The 25806-nt window shown below is 34.9% G+C and overlaps 1 long non-coding RNA gene across 1 annotated transcript in view; it reads right to left on the bottom strand.

The window, feature by feature from the left end:
• Positions 1-3076: 3076 nt before the first annotated feature.
• LOC105373576 (uncharacterized) overlaps positions 3077-25806 on the bottom strand; it is a 93637-nt gene continuing 70907 nt past the window's right edge. The window contains exon 3 of the long non-coding RNA XR_923239.2: positions 3077-3399. This is a non-coding gene — a long non-coding RNA (uncharacterized LOC105373576). The remainder of the gene's footprint in view (positions 3400-25806) is intronic.

The raw sequence follows: 25806 nt of genomic DNA, 5'->3' as shown, positions 1-25806 counted from the left end.
ATGTAGCAAAGAAATAAAATAATATCAGACATATGTCCAAAATACAAGTGTGTTAATATTGATGTTAGGACAAAGAAAATGTTAATTGAATACATTTAAGAGGACATCTTAAATATCCTTTTAAAGAAGATATCTTTAGAATCTATCACACTAAGAATATATTTTGTGCCAAGCCTATTTTGGCCTCTACAAAGACGCAGGTAACAGATACAATTTCACAGGATTATAAAATAAAAATCGCAGTTGCCTTAAACTGAGATGGCAAAGATTGTAAGAAGAAGTGGTGGTATTGATGACATGTTAGAGTCTGAGAGCTAAGTTTGGGGTATGATTGTTTTGAGTTGCATATTAGAAAACCAAGTATACATATCAAGTAGAAAGTTGACTATAAAAGTCTTTGAATCAGTGTTAAATCTAGTTACAAGATATAAATTTTAAAATCTCTAGTATAAAAACTTCATTTAAAAATATATGACTGAATGATATTGGGTAAGTGTACACACATCAATTTTTTTAAAACTTAAGCAATCCAAGGACTAAGCTTTTGGGAATTCCAATATTTTTAGAGCAGGAAATGAGAGAACACAGTGCAGCAAATGCAAAGTAAGAGTACAGACGGAAATCCAGGAGAGCGGTGACAGTCCGGAAAAAGTTAAAAATGGTGTTGTAAAGATGAGAATGGCAAATACTGCAGATAGATGAAGCAAGATGAAGACTAAGAATTGACTATAGTATTCAGTGATTAAGAAGTCATTGCTGACCTTGTATTAGAAGTTCTGTTACAGTGACAAGAGCAATAGGCTTGTTTGGAATGGGCTCAAGGGGTAATATGAAAAGAAACATTAAAATAAATGAGGGAAGTGAAGTGTTGTAAGGAGTGTTGTTGTAAAGAAAAAAAAACAGGTTTTTATATAAAGCAGAGGGAGAGGCAGGATCGGCAGTTTTTAATTTGTTTTAAGATAAGAGAAAAAGCTACATCTTTCACACAGATGTGAAAGATCATGCACATACCTAAAAATAAATAAAACAGAGGCAAAAATTGAAGAAATGATGTACTTCAGGAAAATGGTGATAGTAGAATCTATTGTACAACTGAAGGTGTTGCCTTTGGATAGAAGCATGAATAATTTATTTCTAATGAAACAAGAAAAATGTATACATTGTCATAGAAACTATTACGAGGCTGTAATAGTGGTGGAAGCATCTAGAAGATATTTTGGCTGCTACAATTCTTTTCATAAAGCAAGAGCTGACCTCATCAGATAAGAGTGTAGATTTTGGAGGTTTGTGAAGAAAGGACAGTGTCTGAAATGGTCGTCTTGGAAAATGGCAGATTGAATGGAGAATGGAAACACCTAATACAGTTGTTGAGCAGCAGTAGGAGTATGTAAGAAGCTGGTAAACATGCTTTTCTATGTGAACAATCAGCATGATAGTGTGTTTTACACCACTAAGCTCAAGTAGGTATATATAGGTTCAGGGTATGCAGAGAATGTGAACCAGGGTTATGGTGTTACCAAGGGAGTTGAAGACACAGGCAAGGGATTGATTATAATGTTTTACCATGAAATTTAAGCTGGGTAAAGATATAAAAGAAGATAAGAAATAAGAGAGGAATGATGTAATACAAGAGGGGCAGTAAATCTTAGGTTCTGGTTATTGGTGTTGGGATCTTAGAGCATGTAAGTTAGGGATAGGGTGGAATTAGAGAGCAATGTTCTTGAAATTGACATTATGGAAAGTTTGTGCTTATTAGTAATGGTAAGTTCTAGGGTACAAATATGATTGTTGAGTGAGTTATCCATGTCAATATTTAAAGCTTCAAGAGTTATGAGGGTAGTCATGTTGGACAGACAGCCAGTAAACTGGGAGGTAAAATTCTATGGGATGTGAGACGAAGCCTAAGTGTCTACGATATTTGTTAGAAGCAGGATGACATCAAATTTAAATCTGTTGTTCCTAGGGATGAAGAAGGAACATCACTGAAGCTAGGAGTTTTGAAAGAAAAGGGAAGAAAAGAGATTGGATGTGACATGGAGGGTATCTTTCACATCTCCATGATATCAGGAGTAAGGAAAGTGAAACAGCTACCAGTTGAGACTCTTACAGGAGAAGCAGTATTCTTGAGGGTACAGAGTTTAATAAAAGCAAAATAATAAAATAAATACAATGTTTTAAAAAGTGATTCAGGTGATTTTTATCAATTATTTGTTTCTGTTTAACAAACCACTTAAATCTGAGGATTTAAAGTAGCAGCCTTTTTTTTTTTTTCCTCATAAATCTACACACCAGCCAAGAGGTTCCATTGATTTGGGCCAGAATTACTGATCAGAATTCGGCTTGCTCAGGTGTTTGCCTTCAGTTAGTGAATTGGCCAGGGCTGGCTGGTTACTGTGTTTTGCCTGGAAAGCCTGAGCTCTGCTCCATTTGTTTCTCATATCACTCCATCTGCCATTCCCTCTACCCATGGTAATGGCAGAAGATTTGAATTAACAATTGAGAAAGAAAGCATCAATGGCTAATAAACATATTACAAGAAGGTCATTTCTCATTACTAATCAGTGAACACACATTAAAACAATTAAAAGGTAACATTTTATACATGTTAAGAAAGGTTTATAAAATTCACTGTTGGTGAGGGCGGATGGAAAAATATATGCTTTCATTTAGTTTCAGAGAGAGAATAAATTGTTCCTCCATCTTTAGAAGGACTTTCAGCCATGTGTATCAATTTTTAAATTGAAGCTACTTTTTAACCCCAAAACTATTCTTCCAGGTATCAACCATAAAAGAATATTCATTATAAAAGAATACTCACAGTACTTATAGAGAAAGATGTTTAAGGATGTTCAATGTAGCATTGTATAAAATATCAAACATTGTAGACAGTTATAAATGTGTAAGTAAAGATTACATATAGCAATTCTTCATGCATCAGTCAAAGACTTGGATGAAAACAAGTGGCACACTCAAATTAAGTAACTGAACATATTTTAATAAAGGCATTGTTTACAATGATATGGGTACAAGTTTAGGAAAGTCAGAAAGGGAAACACGGTATCCTGGGGTTTATAACAATGGAAAACTCCCAGTATCTCTTGGCCTAATGGGAAACTCGTGACAGCTGTGTGTAGAAGACCACCTGATAAAAGGTATGGCCCTTGGTAGGGGAAGATGGCAAATAGAAAACAAGTATGCAAGAAGATGGGAAATAAGTGCCTCAACTTGGCTTGTTTTTCTTCTTTCTGTATCTCCTGCCCGTGGCTTTCACTGCACTGACAGATGCAATCAGAAGCCATAGAGCAAGGAAGGTATTGGAGATCAAGAGTTCTTTTAGGCAGTCGTTTTAGTTCGGTTTCCCAGGACACAGAGCAGGGTGGAGAAGAGTGGAGACTGGATCTGGAGAGACAAATGGAAGTTATCCAGCATAACACACAAGATAGTATTAAACAGCAGAAAAGAGGTCCAGGTAAGTTCATACCTGTTTATATAGAATGATTTCTCCAAAATGGGAAAATGAAAAGAAATTTTAATTTTGCAATCTAATATTTTTAATATAAAATATACAATGTGACCATATACTTCTAAATCTACATATGTAATTATTTCAGTGAAAATAGATACCTTAAATTGTTAACAATAGTCATCATTCCTGTAGATAGTAGTTAGTTGATATGGGTAGAAAGTTAAGAGGGATTTTATTCAACTGGATTTTAAAGTTTACAATGAGCATGCATTTATGTAACAAATTTATTTCACTGAAATTTTAATTTTTTACATCAATAAAATTATTACTAAAATTCTATAGAGCAGTTGGGCAAGGGGCAGGAGCAAAATTTATATTATGATAAACAATTTATCTTCTAATATATACAATACAGAGAATCAGAATGAGGAAATCACAGTGGAAGCCTGCTTATTGAATAATTATTGAATTATGAATTGAATTATGAATTGGATTTAATTATGAATTGAATTATAAATTGAATTCAACTATGAATTAAATCATGAATTAAATTATGAATTATGAGTTATGAATTCAATAACAAGAAACAGGAAATGAGGGTGGCTGCCACCAGTCTGATTCTGAGGTTTGAAAAGTTTTACAGTGGAAAACAGGTCCATACATACTTTCAGTAAATAATGGTGTTTAATTGTGTTTAATTTCTCCTTTTTTTTTAAGTGACTGCTAATTTTTTAGGAAATACGTAAGTTATTTGTACCTAAGTGCTTAGTAAACAGGATTTCTTTCTTTCGGCTTAGGAGTACTATGAAAAAATTACTGAGCTACTAAGGGCACGGTGAACAGAGAAAGTTTGAAAACCTCAGATCTGAAGTATTAAAAATTATATTCAGGCAAATTACAAAAGTTCTACGTACATATTTCTAAAGATATAAGCATGTTAACTGTAAACTTCTATCTCTACTGTAGATTATCAAATGGCACTTCACTCTTATACGGTTTTTTTTTTTTTAATTTTTTTCAGGCGGGCAATTCATTTACATGGACTCCTTTTTCATGTAACTTGTATCTAGATGAAATATTTTGGGACTTATCATTGAGTGTAAATAGAGAGAACTCATGAGAACTAATGCCTCTCTCCCTTCTTCCACTCAGTTTATTTCCCTAACGTTTGCTAATCACTTGTGACTCATTTGGCAAAGAAAATACACTAATATGCATAGTCTAGCAGAAAGCAGGTGTTAAGCATTGTACTGTGAAATTATACTAGTTGGTACCATGCACAGGAACATGAACAGAAATATAAAAAGGGGAAATTGCATCAGGTTGTAATGTAGTGCTCAAAACTAGGAAACAGAACATAATCTGTGCCCCCATCTAGCTACATTACCATGGGCAATCACTTACTGTTCTGAGCCTCAGTTTTGTTTTCACAAAGAAATGAATCAATCTAACAGTAATTGACCAGTTTCTTGAGAAATTTAAGCATGAGGATAAAATAATACCTAGTTGCAATTACTACATAATCTATTAGGTCAAATTAGACATACTGTTACTTTGACATATACATAGTTACTTATTTTAGAAACGCTTGAGGATTCCAGAAAAATTTCAAACTCCTTAATTTGGCGCACTTGGCCTGGCCTAGCATTTTGTGAATTAGCCATGACTTGTTTTTGCAATTCTGACTTCTACCACAAACCATACCAGATTATTACTAATTTCTATTATAATGTTATGTGGTTTCATTTTTCCATGCTTTGACTTTAATAAGTGATTTTAAATATATTAATGAATGAAGAATATCTACATAAAATCTAATAATGACTAATGGAATGTATTAGAAATGTGTGGGAATCAAAATGTGCTATAGGAATTCAGAAAAAGTGGAGATTAATTTCTATGAGAAATCAGTTTTATTTTAAAAATGGTATCTGAACTAAACCACAGAGATGGGTAAAAGCTACAGCAGCAGAGACTATATGAGGGCTTTATAACTAGAGGAATACCCTACGTATGGAATAACTCAGGCATATGCCTGCTTTCAGGAGTCTGTTTTATTAAATTTTTTCTTGCTAACTATGCCTTTTCTAATCTAGCTTGTAATCTATTCAATTCAAAACTATGAACATTTGCTAGACATAAATGAGGTAGTCTTCAGCTCACAGGAATTCTTCTGTTCTGGGAATTTCCCCATAGTAGCCAGGTTTCTCTTCCCTGATATTATTCTCATTATCCTCCTATGACCCTGGCTGATTGTTGCTATTATTACCAGCAAGTGTTGGTAGTAACAATTGCAGCTGTGCTGGACACGTTTTATTTACCAGATTCAACCTTTGCCCTTCTCCAGCCTGCTATTTGCCAATAAGATGGTCAAGGGGGAATACTAGTAGATCAGTCAGAAGAAATGATTGATATTGGAGGGTATTTTTTTTTCCCTGAGATGGACTCTTGTTTTGTAGCCCAGCCTGGTGTGCAGTGGTGTGATCTCGACAACCTCTGCCTCCTGAGTAGCTGGGATTACAGGCACCCGCCACCATGCCCAGCTAATTCTTGTATTTTTAGTAGAGACAGGGTTTCGCTTTGTTGGCCAGTCTGGTCTTTAACTCCTGAACTCAACTTATCCTCCCACCTTGGCCTCCCGATGTGCTGGGATTAAAGATGTGAGCCAGCAAGCCCAGCACTGGAGTTTTTATTTACTTAACTTCCTTACTGTGTGGTATCACACAGTAACTTTGCTCTCCTAGAAAAAAACAGCTCTTGTCAAGAGTAAATTCACTATATAACTTTCTCTTCTTGGAATCTTTGCTTCCTTTCATCCCTTTAAGTAGATGGGTGGTAATAGCTCTGTTCTTACTACTGTTAAGTTTTTATATTTTTCCTTATGGTACCATTCAATTACTTACATTAAAAGAAAATTAAATGACTCACAGTTTTAGTTTTCACATGTAGAGAGGTTAGGAGTTTTTACTCTTATTTTTGCAAGAAGAAAACAGCATTCAAAAAATTGAAAATGTATGACTTTTCTTGGACAAGAGAACTGAGGTTTTAGAGCAATTCAAAATGTGGAGAGACAGGTGAATCCAGAGTGATAGCCAACACCTGCTTACCTGAAACGGGAATCACTAGAGTAGAAAACTGGTAGGACAACTTACATGGTAATGTTGATCAGTTGTTGGAGCTGAGCGTGGACTAATGAGAAACTATAGGAGCTGCAGACTTACTGCTCTCCATACTTTTGTGAGCCCCACTATGAGCCCCACTGAGTTCTCATGGTGAGGATCTGAGAAACCTACCCTCTTGCCTCTGGCAGGGGAAAGGGAAGAGCGGTTTTATTTTTTTAATGCCCAGAGCATTTTCCATAACAAACACCCACCCTCCTGAGAAAAAGACTGTATCAGAGATTTTCCCAAACAGGGAAAGTCATTTCCTCCCATGCCAGCCCCCTACTGCTTTTCTGTCTCACCAAATGAGGGCCAAGGGGGAAGGTGGGGTGTTTTGTTTGTTTGTTTTTGTTTTGTTTTGTTTTTTTACAGGGGATGTTAAGGAGGACTATAGCACTGGTGAAGATCACAGTCCTAAAATACAGGCCCACTGAAAGACTAAGATTTAATAATGAGATTATAGAATGCTTCTCCCCCTCACCCATACACATACTACCTTCACATCATTAGAGGTCTAGTGTAAAAATAGTGGATTACAGTTAAATGTGCCGCAAGACATAGACTTGGAAATTTTTCCGCAGTGAGCGGGTCTATGCAAACCTACCCCCAAAGACCTAGGAAGCTAAGGGGCAGAATAAAGAGGCTGACAAATCCAGTTTCACAGAAAGAAACATTCATTAATAGTAGGGACTTACAAACAGAAGCCATGTCTTGGGCAGCCAAGGGACAAGATGGTGAATCCCTGCGCCCAGACTCAGGCTTTATATACCATGTGGAATTTGCCTAAGGGCAGGATTTATGGTAAGTAAATGTTTACAATAATATCAAAGTTGTTTCGACCTAAGGGCAGAATTTATGGTATGTGAAAGTAGAAATCTTAGATGCATTCCCAGAGCTGGTGTTAATCAGAAGTCAACATGATGGATGTGCATCCAAGATGAAGTTGCTTCAGCCTCCACAAAGGTGAAGTTCTTAGGGAAGCCAAAGTGAGTGGCAAAGATTAAAAAAAAAAAAAAGTCAGAAGAGTTTGAGGTTCTGGCAACTAGGGCTACATAAAATATTAAACATTTAAATTTTTTATTAAAAATTAAATTTATGCCAACTCCTAGCCAGATTAGCACAAATAATCATACAAAATGCTTACTTACCTCAGTTCTTATTACTATGTACATTGTGTTTGACTTGCAACAACAAAAAATTACAAAGCATGTTAAACAGTGGAAAAAAAATGTAAAAGCAAAACTAAATGATGCTATGAAGAGATAAAGTTCTCATGAGAATTAAACTCCAATATTATACAAGTTTTCAAATTATGAGGCAGGGAATTGAACTATAATCAATATGTTAAGAGTTCTAATAAAAAAGTAAACAGGTAAAATTATGTGGGTAATATGAGCAGAGAGATAGAAATTACACAAATCAAACTGATAGACATTTTTTTAAAAACCTAAGATGTAAATGAAGTTCTTTTGAGCTCAAAGGTAGACTGGATACACCAGAGACACAAATTAGAAACTGCGTAGATAGTTCAACAGGAACATCTCAAGAGCTGTGGAATCTCAAAAGGTGTAACATACACATAATTAAAACACCAGGGGAGAAGAAAATAAGTAGAAGAAATATTTGAAGTAATAATGGCCAATAACTTTTCAAAGTTAATTACAGACACCAAACCACAGATCCAGGACGCACAGAAAACAAGCCGTATAAATACTTAAAAAACCACAGAAAAAACTAGACCTCTATATTCAGCGAAGTTATAAGTGAAGGAAAGATAAAGTCATTATCTGACACTTGTGCACATCTGGAGGATTCACCACCAGAACTTCCCTGCAACGAAATATAAAAAGTTCTTTAGGCAGAAGAAAAATGATAGAGGGCAGAAATTGAGATCTACAAAAAGAAAGGAAAAGTGTCAGAGGGAGAATAAAGATTAAAAAAATATTTTTTCATTTCCATATTTGACCCAAAAGATAACTATTTAAAGTAGTAATAGTATTGATATATGTATTGTGGTAATTACAGCATCTACTTAAGTAAAATGAATGGCAGCAGGTCATAAGAAGGGAGAGATTGGAACTTCTTGTCATAAAGTACCTACATTACATATGAAGCAACATTGTGTCATTTGAAGGTTGATTTAGGTTACTGGAAAATGTATGCTGGGAAATCTAGGGCAACCAATAGAAAACTTACTAACAAGAAACATAATGGATATGCTAAAGAGATGAAACCATATAAAATGACCAATTATAACACAAGAAGACATAAAGTGATGGAGGGAGAGGGGAAGAAGAAACAAACATGTAGCAAATAAATAGGTACTAGGATGGTAGATATTAACCCAATTATATCAATAATTAACCTCAAAACTCAAAGAGAAATAGATAATCTGAAAAGGCCTATACCAAATAATTTGAATCAATAATTTAAAACCTTCCAAAGGAAAAGTTACCACTCCCATATTGTTCCACTGGTAAATTCTACCAAACATTTAAGGAAGAAATAATGTTATTTCTCTATAGTCTCTTGCAGAATATAGAAACGAGAGAATACTTACTTACTAATTCATTCTATGTGGCCAGGATTACCTAATTATCAAAACTCGATAAAGACATTATATAAAAAAGCCTTTAGCACAATATTTGTCATAAATATAGATGCAAAAATCTTCAACAAAATATTAAATTGAATTCAACAATGTATAAAATATATTATACACCAAAATCATATGGGATTTATTTCAGGTCTGCAAGGCTGGTTCAATATTCAAAGATGAAATTCATCACATTAACAGGCTAAAAAGAAAAATGATCTATCAATTGATGCAGAAAATATATTGGGAAACTCCAAACCTCATTTATATTTAAAACAACAAAATCTCAGAACTACAAATCCAGGGCAACTTTCTTAACTTGATAAAGAACACCTTCAGAAAACCTACAGTTAATGTTACACTTAGTGATTAGAAACTAGACACTTTCTCCTAAGATCTGGAACAAGTAAGGATGTTCCCTTTTACAACTTCTATTCACTATTGTCCTAGAAATCCTAGATAATGCATTAAGACATGAAAATGAAACAAAGTTATGCACATTGAGATCCTGTCATTTGCAACAACGTGGATGGAACTGGAGGTCATCATGCTTAGTGAAATGAGCCAGAAACAGAAAAATATCACATGTTCTCACTTACTTGTAGGATTTAAAAATCAAAACAACTGAGCTCATGGAAATAGAGAGAGTAGAAGGATGGTTACCAGGTGCTTGGAATGGTAGTGGGGTGAGGTGGGGATGGTTAATAGGTACAAAAAAAATAGAAGGAATAAAACCTAGTATTTGATAATACAACAGGATGACTATATTCAATAACTAATTATACATTTTAAAATAAAAGTATAAGAATTGTTCATAACACAGAAGATAAATGCTTGAGGGGATGCATACCCCATTTTTCATGACGTGATTATTACACATTGCACAACTGTATCAAAACATCTCCTGAAAAAAATATCTCCTGTATCCCATAAGTATATATATACCTACTATGTATCTACAAACATTAAAAATGGTATAAAATTATCTTCATAATTAACATGATTATAGAAATCCTAAAGAATAACAGAAACCCCTTTTGGAACTAATGGATAATATAATTAGGTCACATAAAGTGATAGCAATATCATACAATATAAAGTTAATATAGAAAAATAAATTGCTTGCCTATATAGCAACAATTAACAATTCAATTAAAAAATACCTCAAACCAAAGAATCAAAATAAAATGCAATGCTCAGGTATAAATTAACAAAATGTAATACGTGGAGAGATACAAATGTCTGATGAAAGAAATCAAAGATGATCGAGAGAGAGTTATACTGTAAAAATGTCAATTCTCCCCAAATTGATACACAGCCTTTAGCAAAATTCCTATCAAAAGCTCAGTAAGATTTTTGTATTTCCATAAAAGATTATTCTGAAATGTATATGGAAAGGCAAACTAGAAATAGCTAAAGCATTTTTTTAAAAAGAGTAAAACAGGAGGATCAAGACTTTATTTTACAGCCAAAATAATAAAGACTGTTGAAACAGTGAATGGATAGCCAGATAAGTCATTGGAACAGATAGATATCTTTGCCAATTTTGCCTATCTGGAGAGGCCTATCCATACACATCCTTGCAAGACCCACTTGTCACCAATTTTCCAAATATTTGCCTTCAAGAACCTGATCATTTGACCAAATCATTGTCCACAGCCCCTGAATCTGTGTGCATGCATACGTATGGCCTTTTTCCAAGCAAGGTGAACATCCATGTGTCTTACTCCAGCTGTCCACTGGGCCTATACATTGTGCAGAAACATCAGTAAAGCAGGGCTGATCTTTTCCTCCCTCAACTGATTGTAGGTGTTAACCACGTCTACAATATACCTTCACAGAAACACCTAGATTTAATTAAATAATTGAGTGCTATAGTCTAGCCAATTTGATTCATAAAAGCAATCATTACACCACCTAAAAAAATACTTAAAGGTATGTGAAGGATTCTATGGAAAAACCAATTGACAAATAGGAGGTGTATAATAGAGAGGATGGATAACAAAACTGACAAGTATTTTACCCTATTTTTCACTTTAAGAGTCACTTCTAACCTAGGGCTAGAGGAAAGTTGTCATCATGTCTCACGTAATTAAAACACCTATCTGTTACTGCCTTTGCTATGTGTCAGGTAGTGTTGTAAGTTTATTTAATTTTCACACCATCATAAAGTAGATTATTTTTGTCCCATTTTAGGCACAGAGACATAATTATAGAGGTGGGATGCAAACCCAGTCTTACTCTGTAGTCTGATTTCTTAACCATAAGCAACTTTGCCTCTCAGATAAGAAGTTTAATGAATTTTCAGTATATAGGCTTGCAGCCTCCAATTTTAATCGCTTTGCTTTATTTACCTCACACTTTCTAGTTCTACTAGCTCAGTTTTAACTCTCTTGGCTAGTCTACAGTATTGGTGATCACAGCAGAGGAGTGTGTTACAGCATTTGACCTCAGTGATAGTTACATGATCAATTAACAATGCCTTCTGTGAATAAGAGAGGGCAAGATAAAGACTTACGGAATGCCATGCTTTAATTTCTGTTCTAGATCCTTCATTTTAAAAGACCAGTTAACTGCTTAATAAGTGGCTTTCAACCTCAGTTTCATTTCCAAGCTTATGGATACCTTGATTTATTTATCCATACAATCTGGGGATGTTTATATCACAGCCTCCTGAAGATTGCTGTAAAACCTCTGTCCTGTGCTTAGCCTCTGCTCTGGAGAAAGAAAAATAAGTACTTATTGAAGCTGTGCTTCACTCTTAACACTTCTAACTTCCTCTTGTCCAGTATCTAGTCCTAGCCTTTCACCTAGGAGGGTGCAAACCCCAAGAGAAGCAAGTTAGATTTGAGTAATAGAGAAACCTTAATAGCAGTTTAGGGGAAGTGTACAATTTTTCCTGCAGGCAACGTAGAAAAATTAAATGCTTCTGTGCAATGAGGTCCTATGTCTTTCTTCTGTTTCTTAATGGAACAGATCATCCAACGTATATCAAAGACGTGACCACTGGAATATTTAGCTAAATTTTAATTATATTTTTATTCTGTTTTAGATTGAATACAAGCACGTCTCCTAGGTAACCCAATCCATTGCTGATGGAAGCTAAGCAGGAGTGATTTCGGCAGTGGCTATCTGAGAGAAAAATAATTATAGTAAATGTGCTATGCATTACAAATGAGATAGAGCTATTGAAATTACTCCAAACATCTTTACAAAGAAAATCTCTGAAGAGTTTTTTTTTTTTTTTTCTTTTCTCTATTGCTTTTGTTTTACCCTCTCAAAACTGTTTTTATAATGGCATTATTTTCTGGGCAGGAGAAACAGGAGTGTATATATACGAGGTAGCGTGTGCTAAAAATTGAAACTTCCAAATGATGAAAAAAGACCAACTTAAACTTCAAAAACAGAACTTTTAAAGCTGTGTTTATGGCTTAAACTCCAAAATGAGATGTTATTTTTTATTTTGAACTGACTTAAGGCCAATGAGATTGAATTCTTTAATTTCCCATTTCAGCATCAAATGTGAAATTGTGCATACAATGTAGTCTAATTAAAAACAGTAACATTTGTTTTACAGAAAAACTTTCCAGAGAATAACTTTATAGGTTATTGTGACTAGCATTTACTTCAAATGTAAAATTAAATTATATAGATTTTATTGTTTTTCTGTTGGAAGAAAAGATAATGACATCAAGTACTTTTATGCAACTACTGTTAAATTTTCAATAAACACAATAGCTGAAAATGTGAAATTGTTCTACTTTAATATTTATTTTTCTAATTATTCTTGTATTTTTAAGAATTAGTTGCAAGAATATTAAGGCATACCACCCTGTTTCATACAATCATATACAATAGAAAGCAGAAGTGGAAAAGTAAATCCCATAGAACATCCTTTATGTAGGGCTCATCTTGTTTTTAGTTCTGTGAAATTGGAAAAGATACTTATTTTTTTGAGCCTGAGTTTTATCTTATGCGAAATGGGTGGAAAGAGCCTACCTCTAAATTTGTCTCAAGAGCAAAATGCCCATCTTTATGTGATGTGTTTCACACGGAACGCAGAATATGATAGGAATCAATATTTTTACTTTCCACATAGAATGAAAATCTCTTGGTTTAGTGTTTATCAATAGATTAGGAAAAAATTTGGTGTTGCTAGGACTTAAAAGCATTGTAATAAAATCTGTGCCTTTATTAATGAAGATACTAAAGCATTCCACTGATTATTCCAGTTTCCTAATGTTCAGAGACAGGTTTACATTTTGTTACCCCAAAACCTCAACTCTCCTATCCCTGGGAATTAGGCAGTTAATTAATTCCACCTCCTTTCCAGGAAGATGTGTCAGGGCCAACATACATCCGCAGATGAATTTCAGGACTACTTTACATACCTTCAAACCCCAGTGCTTCAGCTTTGTATGACAATATTTGAAAAATATTCCCTACGTGAAAAAGCACTGAGGTGCCCCCTTGGGATAGAAAGCAATTTCTGCATCAGCCTGTGTTGGGACATAGAATAGGCAGCCAATAACTATTACTATGATTGAATCATTCTGGCTTTAAGCAGTAAGCATTTATCTTCACAGTAGGTGATTGCCACTGTGCTACGGGTGTGAAAAAAGAACTATGAAATCATCTCTGCCCTCAGGAAGCTTATAGCCACATGAGAGAAGTGTTTCACAAACATAAGATAGTTAGAAGAGATCCTACTTGACTTCACATACTTTTTACAAGTACTGTTGCTATTTGGAGAGAGGGTACAATCTCTGCTGGCTGTGATACACAAAAGGTCTTCTTAAAGACACAGAATGGCTAGAACAATGATGGTTAGAGAGGAAAACAAAAATTTGTATATATGAGGAACAGCACCTGTATAAACTTTTCCAATGCTTTCCCAGCACTTTTCCATTTATTCAGGATAACTTACTCATGTTCTTTTTGTCACTTCTAACAAGTCTTCATATCTTTTCTTTATTCTGTTATTAATTATTTCACAAAGGGGGGAAATACTATGAAATATTCCTGACTGCTTTATTGAAAACTTATGGCTCATTTCCACAGTAAAGAATCCACAGAGTATGTGGATATCTTTGATCCACTCCAAACATGTTAAATGTTCTTTTTGCATTCTACAATTTTCCACTTTTTTTTTCAGGAGCTGTGTTTTCAATTAAGCCGTAACACTTTGGCACATATTTCCCCACATCTTGACATATAGTTTCATGTCTTGACACAATATCTCAGAGATCCAGTATGGGGAAATAAAGTCTGCAATTTACAAGGCTCAACTAATTACCAATGTGTATAAATTCCCAAGTTCAACTTGAATTGTATCTCCTTGCAAAATGGAATGTCAAAGAATGCTAAAATATTAAGACATAATTCTGATTTGATATGTGACTTTAAAAAAATCTAGGTAAGTAATAAGAAAATATGTAAACAAAGGAGTATAACTCTCATTAAAATTTAAATGTACTCTGGTGGCCCATTTTTAAATTTACTTTTTTGGAAGTGGAAGAACTGAATAAATTGGCAACAATTCAGCAGATGTCTAGACAGTATTTCTGTATTGAAAGGTCCTGAGGCCAGGGGAACTCATAGAGGATGTAACATCCATTTAACCTAACCTCTGGATTTAATAGATGAAGACTATTACAGAAAGTCTAAGATATTTGCCATGTACCTAGAAAGTGGCTGAGGGTGGTTATAGTCCATTTATCTTACAATTTAACCACTTTTATGAGTCATTTAATTATGAAAACATCAAAAATAAAAGTAATTTACTTTGTTGCTGTAACTTAGGTCATTCAGAAATATGGCTATGTGTGGTACTTGAAATAGATGGAAACTGATTTTATATTAATAACATTGATGTTAAAGAATAAAATCTTTGAACATTAAGTTAACTAAAATAAATTGAAGGGCATATTATTTTATATAAGAAATCTTTTTCATTTAGTAATCTGAGACTCAGATGACATTTCCAAAGTTTATCCACAAAACATTTATTGGAGTTCTAGATAGGTCAGGTATAGTCAGAATTCTTCACATTAAGTGTCGGGAGTGACTTTATTCAGAACATCTGTTGAAATGTCACCTTCAAATATAGACCAGTGAGAGGCATGCATTCATAATATTCTTCCTGATAAATATTTCTTAAGCACTATGTGCCAGATACTATTGAAAGTAGATGAAGTAGTCATAGTCTCCACTCTCATGGAGCTTATACCCTAGTGGGGGAAAGACAGATGTTAAATGGATAACTGGTAATGAGATGATGACGGAGCAAACTGAATGGATGTGAGTGCAGGAGGCACGACTTGAGGGTGATTTGTATAGGGTGCGGAGGGATCTGTCTACAGGGATGAGGTTCAAAGTGAAAGTTAGAGAAAGAATTATTCTGCCATGGAGGAGAATCCAGATGAATCCAGATGAATAATGTCCCAGGCAGAGAGAGAATGGAAAGCATAGAGGGCTCAAGGTAAGGAAGATGCAGTGTGTTACAGAAACTAAAAGGAGATTAAAAAGGGTGTGAGGTTAGTTAACCTAAGAAGAATGGCTCCAAATGAGAATGATGGATCAAAAGGAGTGAGATTATTCAAGATGAGAAGTTTGGGATTTTGTAAAAGTAAATGAGAATTAGATGACGGGCCTTTAAAAAAAAAGCTTTATTGACACATAAATAACGTATTATAAAATTCACACTTTTAAAGTTCAAAGCTCAATGATTTTAGCAAAGAGTTGTGCAACCCTCATTATAATCTAATTGTTATTGTAGTAAAATATATACAAAATCTAGTATTTTAACTAATTTAAAGTGTTTCATTTTATGCCATTAACTACAATCACAATGTTGTTCAACCATCTCCATTATCTAATTTCTGAACTTTTGTTACCCTGAATGGAAATCTCATACTCATTAACCAGTGACTCTTATTCTTCTTCTTCCATGCGCCTGTAAACCACAAAACTGCTTTTTCTTGCTACAGATTTTTCTACTCTGGATATTTTGTATAAATGGTGTCCTATAATATGTGGCCTTCTGTGTCTGGCTTCTTTCATTTAGCATAACGTACACTAATGTTCATCGAAGCTCTATTTACAATAGCCAAAGGGTGAGAATAACACAAATGTGTATCAAAAAAATGAAATGACAAGCAAAATGTGTCATATCTATACAATGGAATGCTATTTAACCATAAAAGAATAATGTTATGATACATACTAAAGAATGAAACTTAAAACATTAGAATTATAGAACAATTTGTATGAAGGATTTCTCAACAAGATGGCAAATAATACAATTTACTTTTTAACACATCTCAGAACACCCCATTGACTGCTGTATGAAGACTGGATTGAAGGGAGGAAAAAAAGGAAATACTTGTTGAAAAGCGACTGCAGTTGACCAAGTGAGATACTGCGTTTGTTTAGAGTGGGACATTTGCAACAGAGGTGGGGAAACCGATACATTAGAAATATATTTAGAAATAGAATAATCATGCTTTGTGCTTCATTGAATTCAGGGAATGAAACAGAAATCAGTGCAGACACACAAGTGTGGAATGCAGCTACGTCACTTACTACGATGTAGAAGAAACAGATTTGGGGGAGAAAGGATAAGATGTGATTAAGTTCAGCATTGTGTGTTGCTGAGGATGTGGGCGAACTAGAACTCTCTTCATGGGAGCACATATTTCTATAAATGCTATTTTACATGGAAATAGGTAGAATTTATACCACTACTTTGGAAAACTGTTGAGCATTATCTTCAAAAAAGAAATATGCACATGAAATATACCCCAGTAATTTTATAATACATACCCAATAGGAATAAGCACATATATTTACAAAAATGGGTGAGTTTTATTAAAGCAAGATTATTCATAAATTCCAAAACCAGAATCTACCAAAATTCCCACTGAGAGTGGAATGATTGAATAAATTGTGACACTGTCATACAAAAGAACACTGTAAAACAAGAAACAAGCTCCAGCTGCACGCAACAACATAGATAGATCTTGAAAATATGTGGATTAACAGCAGCCTGACACAAATAAGCACACATGGTATGATTGCAACCATTATAAAGTTTTAAAAGAAGCAATTCAGGCTCTAAGAATTCAGGGTAAGGTATGCTGGGATGGAGGGAAGAGGCTTTAACAGGAAGATGGCATGAGGATTTCTGGGGTTCTACCCTCCCTGACTGCTCCTGTCTTAGTGGCTCTACAACTCTTACATATTGTAAACAATTTTTTCATGTGTTTATCTTTGCACAAGTGTGTGTTCTGGGTATGTCTGTATGTCTGTTTCCCCTAGTAGACTTTGAGCTCCTTGTAGTAATAGAGACTGTATTTTATTCAGCTTGGAACCTGACACATAGTTGAATCACAGTAAATGTTGAATGAATGAATGAATGAATAGCAGGGTGTTAGGAGACAAGCGGATATGGATCATTGTATCAAAGCCGGTACCTAAAAGAAGCATGGGCAATGCTTTGGTATGAGATGTACCATGGCAGCGGGCAAAACTCAAAGGTCCATATGAAAATAAATTTGGCAACTTTCAGTCATATTAGAGTGTATTTGAAATGATGGTTACTCAATTTTTTTGGATGACTTAAAAAAAACCTTATTCTTTGTAATAGGACTTTTTTTTAACTGGGATGCAGTGTATCCAGAAAAGGATGGTCTTTTCTAATTTCTATGACTACTAGGAAGGTAAATGAGAAGCAAAATACTATTTGATAGTACTGTTAGAGAATTTCCTGCAGAGAAGTGCAAATATTTGGCATGTCCCCTTCTTATCCTCTTCCCTACCAATGCACACATTTTTAACACATGCCTGGAGTGTGGATGTGATAACTGGAGCCACCATGAATCTGAGGTAGCCTTGAGGACAGAAGACATCTACTAAAGAAAGCAGAGATAAGGACCCAAGTTTTCTATGACTTTTTGGAGTTTTCATACCAACCCTGGACTGTCTCCTCATGCTTACTTTAGAGGCAAGAATAAACCCATTTGTGTTCAGCCATCAAAGTTTAGTTTCTGTTTCTGGCAGCAGTTTATAGTTTCTAACTGACAGAGAAACTGATCTCTGTGCAGGTAAGAAATGTCTCCCACATTGCACAGCAAGTAAATGGTCGAGCTGACTTTAAATCTGTCAGTGTGCCAAAATATTTTATGCACTATGTATCACTGAATGTTCCCCCCCCTTTTGGTGCTTTCTGCTGTCTTTTTAACTTACAGGTAGAAAACTGTAGCCATAGGGGCAATCAGAGGACTGTGCCTGAAACCTTCTATGAATCAGGGCAGAGGTTTCAGGATTTCTAGAAAATCAGGAAGATCTAAATGATCCCAGTACATCCCCATGACTTCCCCATGGCACCTGTGCCATACAAGGGCAATGAAATTGTTGTTATCAAATGGAAGAATATTTTGCACAGCACAATCTTTCTGATACGCCATAGTGGATGTCAACTGTTAAATCATGCTGAACACTGTGAAAAGAATTAAAAGTACAGGGTCTTAGCATTTATCCCTGTCAGCCAAGCAGTTGAAATAAGTACACAACTATCTAGGAAAATTGAAACCAGCGTGCCGCCTCACGGACTTCTACATCCTTCCCAAAACAAAACAAAGCAAACAAAAACTCAGAGCCCTAGAGTTCATTAAGGGTTCTGAAACAGGTGGCATTAAGAAACAAAAAATGGTGCAGTCCACGTATTCCATTAGGTCCTCAAGAATCATTCCAAAAGTTTTCTGTGTCCCATGCCATCTTAATGGGGAGCAACAGGCTGTTTATATTGCAGGGGGACTTAATAGTAGATGGTTTATCCATGTTGCCTACAACCAGAGATTTCCCAGAATTTGCTTTTCCCTTTTTCTGGTCTCTCCCAGAAATCCATCCTGTTTTCTGCCAGGAAACTACTTTTTTTACTTAAGTCTGTCTGGCTTTCACTGTACATGCCCTTTCACCCTATTGGGTTTCATGGATGGCAAAATTTTCATAAACCAAAGCAGAGATTGTCATTGTCATCAGATGTTTTGCTTAGTAGATGTAGAGAGGATTTATGTCCACGTGGGTTATTCCCACCTGGAACTTCTTTCCATCTTGCGGGAGCCAGGCTTCTAAGATGTCAGCAAGTTTAGCCCATATGTCTTTCCAGTAGTTTTAGGTAGTTACATAAATGGGAATATCTATCTTTTATTTTTCCCTATAAGTGACTTTCTTGGTATATTTTAATTTACCATTAAATATACCATTTAATATACCATTTGGTATATTTTTATTTACCATTTTACTTTGAGGATAATACGGTGCATTAGTTTCCTAGAGCTGCTGTAACAAATTACTACAAACTGTGTGGCTTAAAGTAATATAAATATATTTGCTCACAATCCTAAAAGCCAGAAGTTTGAAATCAAGATGTCAGCAGGGCTACACTCCCTCCCAAGGCTCCAGAGAGAATCCATTCTATGCTCTTCTTTTGGTGGCTGCTGGTAATCCTTAGGATTCCTTGGCTTGTAGCTCCTTTTGTCTTCACATTGCTGCTTCCTGTGACGTCTGTGCCTTCTTTTTTCTATTAGAAGAACATTTGTCATTAGATTTAGGGCCTGCCTGGGTAATCCAGGGTAATCATATCTCAAGATTCGAATTTTATTACATCTGCAAAAACCCATTTCCCGAATAGGCTAATATTCACAGATGATAGGGATTTGGTCATATCTTTCTAGGTTCTACCTTTCAACTTACTACATATATGGTAAGATCAAAATGGGATATGTGGCACAGACTGTAACACGTGCTTTCCCAAACTAGTTTCTAGTGTTTTTTAGTTCTGGTTGCCTAGTTACTGTCTGTTTTACCTGGGCCAAGACATTATACAATATTTTCCGCTCTTTTCAGCGAAAGTCCAAGTCTATCTATAGCTCAACTCAGTCCTGAACTATACTGGTGTCCTCCAAGACTGGCTTATACAGAAACATATATAATTAATATTGTCGCTTTTTAAAATATTGTTTAATATTCTTTAGAAAAATAAAGAATACTAATGAGATGCAATCTGGTTTCATTGTTATAGATTTCTCTTCTAGCTATGTTGCCTGATAATCAGCAATATTGGAAGATCAGATTTCTAGCCTCATCTACCTATGTAGGCAATATTATTTATCATCTAATTCAGAAAAGATATTTACTCTTAATCAGATGACAAGGATAGAAAATACATAAAAACTTTTGAGTTCTGACCTCTCCTGCATTGTAACCCTAGATCTTTGGTTATGCCGTTGACTGATAAATATTTATACCTTTCATTTAATTATCTTTTTCCCTATGGAAAGCTTAATGACTTCTAGAAATATTTATTTCCCTTACTGTGGAAAACTTGACGTAATCAGAACAGTATGGTTTATAATTTTAGCCACAATAATAATTATTTATCACAAACAGTTACTTTAATTTCCTTCTCAAAGCAGGTGACTGCCGAGCACAGCCCCATAAAGCTAATTAATTATGGCAATTGTATAATACGGTGCTGGAAAATGGGTGTTTACAGAAATTGCTGGGAGAAATGCTTCTATATGTAGTTTGGCAGGATAAATTTGTACTTTCAATTTGTATTCTTCCATATTCCACCAGATGAATAATTTTCCTTCTGGAGAAAGAAACCAATATAGAATATGACATTCTCCAAAGTCCCGTGGTAGTCCAACCTAAGCCTGTCATACAAATGGATTAATGGTCCATAATATTCTGTGCATTAAAATATTTGTCACAAAAATGAATGTACACTCTCTCCCCCTTCACACTCTGCCCTCATTATAGACCTTCTCAAAGGAAATGATTATCTATTATTATTTTTTTGGAAAAATGTTCTGTTCTTGGAAGTATAATCTCTGCCATTAGAATGATAAAGAAAAATATAACAATACTTTTAGATATAAGTCTCTGAAAAATAGTTCTCATGACAGAATATAATAGAACACACAATAATACAAAAATAGTCCTTATTACCGTGGAACATGTTAGAGTGTATTAGTTTAGAAAAAAAAAGTAAGCCCACTGTTGAAATTACATTGTGTTTTTATTCTTTAGATTTCTGCTTTATTTTTCTCTAAATTCTTTAGATTGAGATAGGCTGCTAAGCCTGTCACACATCATGCCTATTCTGTGAATGCAACTGGGGAGGGCTCAGCTGGAAAATTCTCTGCATCTAGATAGCTCCAGAAAGCACTTTCACTGGCCTGGTTTCTTTGATGGCAAAATATAGAAGGAAGAGCTTTTACCATTTACTTCCTTTGTTTCTTGTGTTCACACAATTTCTAACATTGATTCTGAGAACAGAATTAATCTATTTAATTAAAAGAGAACTAGAATTGGACATAAATTAAGATTTCTTATTCATATGCTAAATTGTAGGTATTTTTGCCTCATGCAGCAGTCCTAGCTTGTGATATTAGCAAAATGATTCTTGTGGCCCCAAATCAAAGTGGAATCCATATTTAGTAACATAAAAAAGAGATAGAAACTATTTTTATATATTTTATAAATAGTTCTGTATCTTTTTATACTTTTTTTGTAAAAACTGGCATTAATATTATTTACATATCATTAAAATGTCTTTAAATCCCTGTAAGGGCCCTAACAGATCTATCTACATTCTTTACTTACATAACACCAATCTAGCCAGCTAAAATATTAAATGCATATTATAAGTTTTATTCAACATTTCAACTACATTTTAAGTTCCTTGACAGCAGGAGTTATGCCTTTTCTCATATATTTTCAGCATATTTCTGAGAAGGGTATGATACCAAAAGTCAGATGCCCAGTGAGCATCAGTTGTAGCAGTCTATCCTTGCAGCAGTACTTGGCATTTCTCCACATTCTTTAAAAACAAAAAACAAAAAACAAAAAACAAAAAAAAAACACCTCTTCAAAATAAAATGCAATCTGAGATTTACTATAGATTGTGCACAAAAAAAAAATTGAGGCACCACCATCAATTCCAGGAGACAATCAGACTTTCCTTAAAGTCTCTGTTCATTCTTTCTAGCAACTAGGGACCACCCACTCCCCTTACCCTACCCGCTGACATTGCTCAGCTTTTTAGCTTCCTCCCTCTTTTCTTTATTGAGCTAGATGTCTTTCTCTTTCTGCTTTAACATGCTTGCAGAGTTCTGCCCCTCAACAGACTTTTCAAAGCCATTTTCTCTACAAAGTCATTTGCTCTACAAAGAAGCTTTCAGACCAATTTCCTGGAAGATTACATTTGCTTGGAAGAGAGTGCTGCAACTATGTAATGGGTACTTTAATCAAAGGAGAAACATGACGTTCCAACAGGGGTTCTAAGAATCAAGGCTTCCTTAAGTTCTGGTTTTATCACTTGTATAATATGTGATAAATTATCCTCTCCAAAAGTTAGTTTCCTGGTTTTTAAAACTGTCTAGCCATATGCAGAAAACTGAAACTGGTTCTCTTCCTTACACCTTATACAAAAATTAACTCAAGATGGATTAAAGACTTAAACGTTAAGACGAAATCCATAAAAACCCTAGAAGAAAACCTTGGCAATACCATTCAGGACATAGGCATGGGCAAAGACCTCATGACTAAAACACCAAACGCAATGGCAACAAAAGCCAAAATTGATAAATGGGATCTAATTAAAGAGCTTCTGCACAGCAAAAGAAACTATCATCAGAGTGAACAGGCAACCTACAGAGTGGGAGAAAATTTTTGCAATCTACCCATCTGACAAAGAGGTAATATCCAGACTCTACTAAGAATTTAAACAAATTACAGGGAAAAAAAACCCATCAAAAAGTGGGCAAAGAATATGAACAGACACTTCTCAAAATAAGACATTTATGCAGCCAACAAACATATGAAAAAAAGCTCATCATCACTGGTCATTAGAGAAATGCAAATCAAAACCACAATGAGATACCATCTCATGCCAGTTAGAATGGCGATCATTAAAAAGTCAGGGAACAACAGATGCTAGAGAGGATGTGGAGAAATAGGAATGCTTTTACACTGTTGGTGGGAGAGTAAATTAGTTCAACCATTGTGGAAGACAGTGTGGGCATTCCTCAAGGATCTAGAACCAGATATACCATTTGACGCAGCAATCCCATTACTGGGTATATACTCAAAGGATTATAAATCATTCTGCTATAAAGACACATGCACACATATGTTTATTGCATCACTATTCAGAATAGCAAAGACTTGGAGCCAACCCAAATGCCCATCAATGATAGACTGGATAAAGAAAATGTGGCACGTATACACCATGGAATAATATGCAACCACAGAAAAGGATGAATTCGTGTCCTTTGCAGGGACATGGATGAAGCTGGAAAGCATCATTCTCAGAAAACTAACATAGGAGCAGAAAACCAAACACCGCATTTTCTCACTCATAAGTGGGAGTTGAACAATGAGAACACATGGACCCAGTGAGGAGAGCATCACACACCAGGGCCTGTCAGGGGGTGGGGAGGATAGGGGAGGGGTAGCATTAGGTGAAATACCTAACGTAGATGATGGGTTGATGGGTGTAGCAAACTACCATGGCATGCGTATATCTGTGTAACAAACCTGCACATTCCACACATGTATCCCAGAACTTAAAGTATAATTTAAAAAGTGCTAGTATTACACATATCATATTATGCTTGTTGGATTATTTAGCAATATTATTTGGGAAGCATTATTTGGGATGCGTTTTATCTTATGGAAAGTAAGACTACAGACTCAGAATGTTTAAAAAGCCCTTGTCCTTTATTTTAGGAAAAAAGGAGATGAATTAATACTAGCCAGTAGCTGGGTGACTACAACATCTTTGTTTCTTAATATAGCAAAATTATGATTTATACATGAGCAAAACCTAAGACCTTCAAGAAACTGTCTGCTAGTGAGCAAGGAAAGAGAAGTTTTTGGACACTAGGAGGGGAGAGGAGACCATGCTCTTCTTAACAACAAAGAGAAAGATATACCTTGCAGACAAAAGTAGGAAACAACAGCTATTTAATGAGATATTGATACCATGCAGTTGAAAAAAAAACTTATGGTGATAGACTTAGGATCTATGAAGGAGTCTCAGAATTTGTCCAACAGGGTAGAACACTGAAGATACATAATGGGGTCGCGGTATTTGTTCTGCATCATAAAATGTGAAGTTGCGCTTGTTTTTGAGATTTTAGCTCTCCAACAAGACATAAAGTTCTGTTTATTGCAGAGACTGATTTCTTCCTCATTGGCACAGTGTAGTAAATAGAATAAATGTGCATTCTGTATTGAATTTTAATCTGCATAAAAATTATTGGTTTGCCTAAGTATTTAATAGGTTTGACACCTTGTTTTCATGTTATAAAAACCTTTTAGACTATGTTTCAATAGATATCTTTATTAATAAAAGAAAATATAAAGAAGGTTCATTTCAATTCTAGGAATACATCGTCACACCTGTCAAATAAAAATGGGAAAACAAGAAGCTTTTTATTAAAATGAAATTACTGACATCAGATAGACATCTCTGCACATGTTATTCTCATTCTTACACCGCCTGTTGAGAAAAAAGAAACTCAAGAGAGTCCCTCATGGCTTCAGAGAATGGAATTGAGATCAGAGTAATGAGATACTGGTTAAAGGAAACTGTGTTAAACAAGCATTTAATTAGCTTTGGATGATGTCAGCTTTCTGACTGTGGTGAATTCGAATGTGTTTTTTGTTTCATTTTCTTGTTTTGTTTTGGTTTGTTTCTCTTAGACCGATTTTCTTCCAGCAAAAAGGAAACAATATCATTGATAATGCCATCCACATTTGACTCTATAAGCTTCCGGGTCGCTGTGTGATGATATGTGTGGCTATCTAAGGTTAAACACATGAGGAGCTCTTTTTCTCATGATATTTCAAAAATTCCCAATCTGAAGAGTCATCATCCAATTAGTAATGGGAAAGGCAAAAAGTTTCAATAGCTGGCATTTGAAATCAGACCTAGCTAAAAATGTAACTTTATATTTTCCTTTACCTCCTGATCAAAACTGCAATTTTAGCTTCTATTGATTGAACATCAATCTATGCCTATGTCACGTTTAAGTGCATGTGTGTCTGTGTATAAGGAGACAGCATTATACATTACATACATAGAGAACATTTGTTATATGTGGGTATTTTATTAATCATTCTATTAAATCAATGATGTATGTATATATATTTAATATCTATGTATCATTTTACAGTTACTGAAATTGAATCTCAAAGATGTTAAATATTTTCAACCTTACATATTAAGGAAACAACATAAATAGTTCTGACTTATTTCAACTATTTCTCAACATAACGCTGTTGAAAAAGGAAGTAGACCCCCCCAAAAATTTGCCACATATTTGGTGGTTAACTTTTTTTTAAATTAATTGTTTTTAAAGATGGGACTCGCTATGTTGCTCAGGCTTGGCCCAAATTTCTGGGCACAAGTTATACTCCTGCCTCAGCCTCCTCTGTAGTTGTGGCTACAGGTGTGCACCACTGCACCAAACTAGTTAACATTTTAAATATCACTATTAAATAAATCT

The sequence above is a fragment of the Homo sapiens genome, chromosome 2 (assembly GCF_000001405.40).
Source record: "Homo sapiens chromosome 2, GRCh38.p14 Primary Assembly".
NCBI lineage: Eukaryota > Metazoa > Chordata > Mammalia > Primates > Hominidae > Homo > Homo sapiens.
Note: the sequence above shows the minus strand (reverse complement) of the source record. Positions and strands in the feature narration are given on the sequence as shown.